Raw genomic sequence first — 9,307 nt, 5'->3', positions numbered from 1 at the left:
TTTATAAGCCAGGCAACTGGTTAATTGTGGTTAATTGTCTGGTATGTTTACTAGTCACGTAGTTGTATACACCATACTAGTTTTTCATCACAGGCCCTCATTCGCCCCCACTGCCATCGGACTTCCTCCTCCTCCCCTCACAGGAAATGTTTCGAGAATTTTTCAACCTAAAATCATATAGCTTGTGAAAAATACCGACAAACATAATATAGAATATTTAAATAACTGACACGCCACCTAAAGACCATCAGTGCTAATTCCTGGTGTTTTTAATCTTTGAAGCGTTTGTTTATCAGCTCTTCCACCATCCACCTCTCCCCTCCCCAGGTCCCCGATCTAAAATCAAAGAGATTGATTTAGGATGGGTGGGTGCCTTGTCTTCTCTCATTGTTCGACATTTTAGTTACGTTTTCTCTGAGCTCTCTGGAAAGCATAAAAGTATAATATCTGTTAAAAGTTGGATGAATGAACTAATGAACGCAATGGGATTCCAGAAAACTCTGCGGGAGATGGGCTAGAGGACGAGGAGGAGGTGGATGAATCAGCCATGTTAGAGAGCCTGGGAAGGTGAGCAGAGTTGAAAACTTGATAGATCTAATAATTTACTGGCTCTGGGTTTGTCAGTCACTACATTGCAGCAAATGAGATTAGAGCATAGTTGTGGGAGGGAAGGAGGTGACGCAGCAATCTATTTGCACCTAGAAATTTTAGGCAAGTGATAGCTGCGTAATCATACTGCGGCACCGTTTTTTTCTTGCAGCAGTAGCTGCTTGCGGAGGAGGTCTGCCCACTGCAGCTCTCTGCAGTCTCCGGCTCTCTCCTGCAGGATCGGTCAACGCAGCCGTCGCCGCCCTCTGCACCCAGCCCAGGTCGCCACTGCTTCAGTCCGGTTCTCAAAGCCTCAGCACCATCTTTTATCCCCGAGCAGCCTGGATCGTCGTTCCCTCAGTCCGGACGCCACTGCTAGGTCCGACCACCGCCGCTTCTGATATTTCGGTGAGTCTTTTCCTGTGGAGGTTTGGTCTCCCGATCTCTGTGGTAGCCACCTTAGGCGTGTACGGTCCTTTGAAAAATGGCCGAGTCAGAGAACCGCAAGGAGCTGTCAGAATCCAGTCAAGAAGAGGCTGGTAATCAGATAATGGTGGAAGGGCTCGGGGAACATCTGGAGCGCGGTGAAGATGCCGCTGCTGGGCTTGGAGACGATGGGAAGTGCGGTGAAGAAGCTGCCGCTGGGCTTGGGGAAGAAGGGGAAAACGGTGAAGATACTGCTGCTGGGTCCGGGGAAGATGGGAAAAAAGGTGGCGATACTGATGAGGACTCAGAGGCAGACCGTCCAAAAGGACTTATCGGTTATGTTTTAGATACAGACTTTGTTGAAAGTCTACCTGTGAAAGTTAAGTACCGTGTGTTAGCCCTTAAAAAGCTTCAAACTAGAGCGGCCAATTTAGAATCCAAATTCCTGAGGGAATTTCATGACATTGAAAGAAAGTTTGCTGAAATGTACCAACCCTTACTGGAAAAAAGACGTCAGATCATCAATGCAATCTATGAACCTACAGAAGAGGAATGTGAATATAAATCAGACTCTGAGGACTGTGATGATGAGGAAATGTGTCATGAAGAGATGTATGGTAATGAGGAGGGTATGGTACATGAATATGTGGATGAGGACGATGGTTATGAGGACTATTATTATGATTATGCTGTGGAAGAGGAGGAGGAGGAGGAGGAGGAGGACGACATTGAGGCTACTGGAGAAGAGAATAAAGAAGAGGAGGATCCTAAGGGAATTCCTGATTTTTGGCTAACTGTTTTAAAAAACGTTGATACACTCACTCCTTTGATTAAGAAATATGATGAGCCTATTCTGAAGCTCCTGACAGATATTAAAGTTAAGCTTTCAGATCCTGGCGAGCCCCTCAGTTTCACACTAGAATTTCACTTCAAACCCAATGAATATTTCAAAAATGAGTTGTTGACAAAGACCTATGTGCTGAAGTCAAAGCTAGCATATTATGATCCCCATCCCTATAGGGGAACTGCGATTGAGTATTCCACAGGCTGTGAGATAGATTGGAATGAAGGAAAGAATGTCACTTTGAAAACCATCAAGAAGAAACAGAAACATCGGATCTGGGGAACAATCCGAACTGTAACTGAAGATTTTCCCAAGGATTCATTTTTCAATTTTTTCTCTCCTCATGGAATCACCTCAAATGGAAGGGATGGAAATGATGATTTTTTACTTGGTCACAATTTACGTACTTACATAATTCCAAGATCAGTATTATTTTTCTCAGGTGATGCACTGGAATCTCAGCAGGAGGGGGTAGTTAGAGAAGTTAATGATGCAATTTATGACAAAATTATTTATGATAATTGGATGGCTGCAATTGAGGAAGTTAAAGCTTGTTGCAAAAACCTTGAGGCATTAGTAGAAGACATTGATCGTTAGAGCAGAGTATACATGGCCCTGAAATTAACTGCCCTAGATATAGTTACTCAAGGTATAAGAAGCCTTGTGTTCTGTATTTTTCTTGTAGTGTTAGTTAAAACATATGTTTCAAAAATATAAGAAAAGTTCAAAAACTAATTAATTTGACCTTGAGTTTTAGTAGTAGAATGTTTTCAAGAAATGTACACTGTGGTAAATGATTTAAAACACTAGTATAGTGTTGTGTAGCTTAATCCTTCTGAAGTCTTTTTGTCATGTAGCTATTAATCTGTGGCTATGAAATGATCAGAAATGCTAAGTGAGATCAATATTTGTTTGGAAAAAAAATCTTGGGAAACAACCCAAGGGTTTTCGCTGTTGTTGTTTTTCTTTTTCTATTTTTGTTTACTTAGTCCTTTAGCTAGTGGATTTAATTTTGTTGTGCCTGCTTCATTTTGCAATAACAATGCAGTAGAATTTAAAACTTGGATGCTTAAGAGGCCTGCATATAGATAAGAATTTCAGGCAAAACTACATTTATTGTTAATAACAGCTTGTTCATAGGCTCTTGTATTTTATGTAACTGTGATAAATAATGAAACTTAGTTATATTGAGGTTATTGTTTGTCGGTGAAGTGTTAGTCACAGTATTTTCAAAAGTTTGCACATATTGTTCTGTGTAATTGTGTAAGCCATAATTACAGTGTTTAATTCTCTTTTCCTATTACATCATTCATTGAAAGTGATCACTTTACCATTTTGAAAAGATATTTCGTGTTCTTTCACTGCAAAATAAAAAGAATAAAAATTTCAGAGTGTCTCATGTTTAAAACTTAATGTATTTCTTGTTATAAAAGTAATATGTTCATTGGGGGACATTTGGGCAATACTGAAAAAATTCATTAATTAAACACAAAATCCATATACCACCCACCTACCCCAAAATAAGCACTGTTAATGTTTTGATTTATTTTCTACAATTATATTTCTATATGTTTATACACGCATGCAGATTTACTAAGACTATACTAAAATGTGCAAAGAAAGTATACCTTTCTTAGTGTTTATAATTGATCTGTTCATAATCTCAAGTCTACTTTCACTACACAAGGTTGCAGGGAAACAAAATTCTCAATTCTAATCAATCCAGTAATCTCAGTGCTATTTAATAATTTAAGCACCCTTTTGAAATAACAGGTTCCTGTGTGTTAGTTTGTATTTCATATTTCTTGCCTACCCTTCCACAGTGTCATCTGGATATATATGGGATTGCATTACTAATTGTGGCTGGGCTTGGAGTGCAGTGCCCTGATTCAGGAAAATGGGATGTGGTTGATCAGACCCTTGTCCCAGAGCTGACTTTGCCTTTCTTGCATGTGGAAACAGGCTTTGCTTCTCCCTTTGGCAGACTCTGAAAAGGTCACATTCATACCTCTAGTACAAGAGAGAACTTCTTGGTCCCCTCCATGCCACGTGGGAACTGAGAGTGACTAGGAAATGCTAACTCTGTCTCTTTATTGCTGCCTATCCACTCTTCCATCCCAGGTGGTTGGATGGATGTGATCTTGCACAAATATAAACCAAAAGTGGAGCAGAAGTTCTGTCTGTGACTTATTCTTCCACTATTAAACATGCCTCCTCCTTCAGATCTTGACCCAGACAGGTAAGTTTATAGCAGTGCCAACTTTTCATATTTCTGTTTCATACCTCTCTACAATCAACTGAGGAAGAAATTATGAGCTTTTTCTTTCCTTTTCCTGTCTGTACAGGACTCTCCTCTAATGTTAAATCTTTCTCCCAAAGACGGGGTAGATGTTCCCTGCTTTTCCCTGTGGTTGCAATAGTTGACAGGATATGGGGAAACAGACAACTTACTATTATAAGGAAATCTAAATAAGGAGATACTTTCTATGTATGCCTGGTAAGTATAGACTTATTTTAACACTTTTCAACACCATTAATCTTGACGTCTGTGAAATTATTGACTCTCCGCAGTCCCCTGTCACACACAGAGATTGGGCCCCTTTTAATTGTCTCTACTGTTGTTGCGCATTAAAAAGTCAGGGACATGGGTGTATCACTCCTGGTATTTCACAGAGGAGACTCAGACATTTTGCAGTTTCTCCTATACCTTTCTCTTACCTTCATTAGACAGAATAGTAAAGATGCTTCTGGGTTTGCTCTGAGGGCAAGCCAGACCCCTTTGCTCTAACTCTCATGTCAATGGCCTCCAGCCAAAGGCAAAGATATACCTATAGGTGAAGAAGTTGGGTTTATTCTTCACTGCAGTGAGAGAGAACATGCTTCAGGGAACCATGGAATGTATCAGTAAGTGGGTGTTAGAAAAAACACTGGGTTGTAAGATTTGGTGGTGGGTCCAAGGAAAATAAGGTTTACTCTAGATCCGATGCTGACAGAAAATGTGGGCAATTTTATGATTGGTAGTTCAATAAATCTTATCCATAGGGAGGGGAGACTAGAACAAGGATAGCCTGGGCAGGGTGGGGGAGGTGTTTGTATGTCGTGGGTGGCACAGTGACCTTGTTTTTGTCTCTGCTTAGACAAAATTAAGTGGTCTTGCTTTGTCTCATTTTATCATAGTCCCAGAGTTACCCTATGGTTGGTATTCTATGAAATAGTTTGTGTCCAATAGGAGAATAGCCTGGCCTAGCTGTGAGTGCCAGGCTAGCTTCCTAAAGTTAGGAACTGTTCCTTATTTTTCTTTCTCTTTTGCCTCTTCTTAGGAATACAATTTGAGCCTCTCATCCCTCCCACAGCTTGTGGAGGGAGGTTCATTCAATTGGTTTTAGACTAGTGTAAAAACACTTTGGGCTTTGAGGGTAGGCCACCAGCTTCAGTCCACATACCATACAGTTCTGTACTAAGGTTAAGAACCTATGTGTGACAAATCAAGTTTTACCTTTGTTCTCTTCATATTTGTCTTAAAAAATTAATCATTATATGGTCCTGGAGGCGTCATAGAGGTGGCTGTTGGGCCTTGTTAGAATTTTGATATTCCCAGGGAATATACTGAAATACAAATATACAATAAAATTCCATTTTGGGATACATGGTAACTTATAGTTCAGAATGATTAGTCATTCTAAACTGCCTGGATTCAAATCCCAATTCTGCAACCTGTTAGTTGAGTGACTTTGTCCAAGTTACTTTATGTATCTCTGTTTTCATACCTGTCAAAATGTAATAATTGTGCATCTACCTCATAAAATTATTATGAAGAATTAATTAGTTTATGTGCTTAGGAATATGCTTGGCACATAAATGCTATATAGATATATGTATTTTGTTATTTTTATAACTAAGTTTGTATCTCTAAAATACTCAAAATGGGTATACAGTAAAGGCAGAGTAAATTCTTTTTTGGGGGAGGGGACAGGTCTCACTCTGTCACCCACACTGAAGTGCAGTGGTGTGATCATGGCTCACTACAGCCTCGACCTCCCAGGCCCAAGCAATCCTTGCACCTCAGCCTCCTGAGTAGCGGGGACCACACACACCATTTGGAAGTCTGATGTGTATAAATATATGTCTGTACATGTATACAAGAAGTGGTGCATATAAAGTGAATATTACTGGTTCTGACACCTGCTGAGCACTTTCATGTCACTACTAGTGTAGGTATATTTGGAAGAAAAAGTAGATCATGTGTTAACTATCTAGTAGTAGTTCACTGCCTCTGTAATATAGAGAACCTGTTAATTTAAACCTTACACAAAAGATTCTGTACCCCGATTTGAATGTATCACTTGGCAATGAGAAAAAAGCTATCCTACCAGTTTTATTTGATTAGTGCTGAAATAAAAATTTCACAAAGCAACTTGACAAAAATGGTAAAGGTAACTGTACATTTCTATTAAATTTTATATTCCACACTTAACTTACTAGTAGGCTCTTTTTTATTATTATTATTATGGAGTTTCACTATTTTTGCCCAGGCTGGAGTGCAAATGGCGCGATCTCGGCTCACTGCAACCTCCGCCTCCCAGGTTTAAGTGATTCTCCTGCCTCAACCTACCGAGTAGCTGGAATTACAGGCATGCACCACCATGCCCCACTAATTTTTGTATTTTTAGTAGAGACGGGGTTTCACCATGTTGGCCAGGCTGGTCTTGAACTCCTGAACTCAGGTGATCTGCCTGCCTTGGCCTCCCAAAGTGCTGAGATTACAGGCATGAGCTACCATGCCCAGCCGGCTCTCTCACTCACACACATACACACACACACACGCACACACACACACACACACACACGCATGCAAACACACACAGACACACAGGACAATATGATCCAGAGTGAGAGAAGTTCGTAGAGAGATTCCCAACAGGTGGAATCAATATCAGTGGTGCTTTGTCACTTAATATTTCTCCATCAGTTTTCAAGGTGAAGAGAGGTAATAAAAAGTGATATTTTGTACGTGTGTGCATGCTCGCATCTGTGCATGTATGTGCATATTTCACTGAGGAATGTACTGGCAATAAGTAGTAATAATATTTAGATAATAATCTTTGTTATCCAAAATATCACCTAGAATTTGTCAGGAATCCTATGGATAAGGGAAGACTGAATGATTTGTAATGAGTTCTCTTCTCCACTATGACGATGTAATTTTTATTTTATAGCTTAGAGGAATGGAAAAGCTTTTCCTTGCCAAGACTCATGTCATCCAATTCAAAGCATTTACATTTCATGTTCAAGCATTAAACTTGCATACTCTTACCATAACATGGTGTTTGTAGAACATTTCAGCATTATGTTCTTAGCAGAGTGAGTTTGGACAGGGGTGCTTATCTCCATTCTTCAGATGAGAAATCTGAGATGTAGGCATTGTAACTTGCCAGTATCATCCAACTAGTAAAGGAGAACTCAGCTCTGATCTTACTGCTCGTGCTCTTTTCACCATACTATGCTGCCTTCTGTGAAACTGAATGATGCTGCTAGTTTGTTTAATATTTAAAAATCCCTCTATGATTATTAAAACTGCCCAAGGCCAGGTGCAGTGGGTCACACCTGTAATCCCAGCACTTTGGGAGGCCGAGAAGGGTGGATCACCTGAGGTCGGGAGTTCGAGACAAGCTTGACCAACATGAAGAAACCCCATCTCTACTAAAAATACAAAAATTAGCTGGGCGTGGTGGCGCATGCCTGTAGTCCCAGCTACTCGGGAGGCTGAGCCAGGAAAATCACTTGAAACCAGGAGGCAGAGGTAGCAGTGAGCCGACATTGTGCCATTGCACTCCTGCCTGAGCAACAAGAGTGAAACTCCATCTCAAAAAAAGAAAAAAAAAAACTGCCCAAAACTAGCACAGGAATGGATATTAACTTATACTCCTTTGTCAGGTTTATTATCTCATAGACTTAGAACTTTTAACAGCCTAGCTGAAGCTTTTTAATAAAACATCCCAATACAGCTTTAAAATATGAAAACCTTACAGGAATTAATTAAATCTCATTTTATCTAAGATATTCTCTAACGTAGACTTTCCTAAAGTGGCCTATTTTTTCTCACATAATCATAGATTTAATTTAAGTTATTTGCCTTTTTAAAACATCAATTTTTTTCTGGATGATTGCCTCTCTGTGAAACTTGTATATTATGTGACCTGGAACAAACTAATAAATCCCATTTTTCAGCAGTTTCCTCATCTGTACAAGGGAGATAATTAGTAGTGCCTACATATATAACATATATATATGTATATATATGTGTGTGTGTATATATATATACTATATGATTCTTTTGATGATTTGTTGTAATAATGACTGTCAAGCACTTAGCACAATGCCTGGTACTTAGTAATCCCTAAAACACTATGTGATTATGACTGTAATTACCATAATCACCTCTTAGGATTGTTATGAGGATAAAATTGTAATATGATGTGATACATAGTAGGAACTTAACAAATTATAGCTACTCTTTTGTAGGTTTATACCTCTGGAAGTGATCACAAGCAGAAAGGAATGTGAGATGATTGTCACTTTATGTTTTTTAATTTTTTATTTGGAATAATTATAGACTCAGCAGGAGATGAAAAAATAGAACATAGAATCGCATTAGCTTTGTAGGTTTAAGCTTTCTGACAAATTTTGAAAATGTTCAGCATTTTTTTCATTGAATTATATCTGCTATTCAACTTTCTTTTTGTAACTCTGATGACATAAATGTTAGATCTTTTGTTATTGTCACAGCTCTTATGATTCTTTTCATTTTTTTCAGTCTGTTTTCCTTTGTTGTTCAATTAGGACAACCTATTTATCCGTTTTCAAGTTCACTAATTCTGTCCTGCCATCTACATTTTCCTGTGGAGCCAATCCAGTGAGATTTTTGTGTTAGTTATTTTATTTTTTTCAATTTTGTAATTTTCATTTTGTTTATTTTTACAACTTCTATTTCTTTGCTGAGATGTTATATTATTCATATGTTTCAAGAGTGTTCATAATCGCTTGTTGAAGCATCTAATGATGTCTGCTTTAACATCCTTGTCAGATAATTTCAACAGCTGAGTCATCTTGGTGTTGGCATCTGTTGACTGTCTTTGCTCATTCAAGATGTGGTTTTCTGATATTTCATATGATGAGTTATATTCATTATATCCTGGACATTTTGAGTATTGTTATGAGACACTGGATCCCATTTAAATTTTATATTTTAGCAAGACGTCACTCAGTTTAGGTTTAGTGTCTCTGTATTGGTTTACTTGTTTTTGATGACCTTCATGATTTTAAAGAGAAGTAGTTAGGCCCTTTGTAGAATGTCCCTCAATTCAGATTTGTCTAATGTTTGTCTCATAGAGCAGGTTTATGTGTTTTAGGAAGATTACAGAGATGACATGTCTTCTGCATCATGTCATA

General features: G+C 38.7%; 1 protein-coding gene across 1 annotated transcript; it reads left to right on the top strand.

Moving 5' to 3' along the window:
- On the top strand, positions 714-3,266 carry NAP1L2 (nucleosome assembly protein 1 like 2). Its single transcript, NM_021963.4, has one exon. The coding sequence runs from the start codon at positions 1,073-1,075 to the stop codon at positions 2,453-2,455; it is 1,383 nt and encodes a 460-aa protein (NP_068798.1). The 5' UTR covers positions 714-1,072; the 3' UTR covers positions 2,456-3,266.

The sequence above is a fragment of the Homo sapiens genome, chromosome X, assembly GCF_000001405.40.
Source record: "Homo sapiens chromosome X, GRCh38.p14 Primary Assembly".
Taxonomy (NCBI): Eukaryota; Metazoa; Chordata; class Mammalia; order Primates; family Hominidae; genus Homo; species Homo sapiens.
This window is presented reverse-complemented; position numbering and strand designations above follow the sequence as displayed.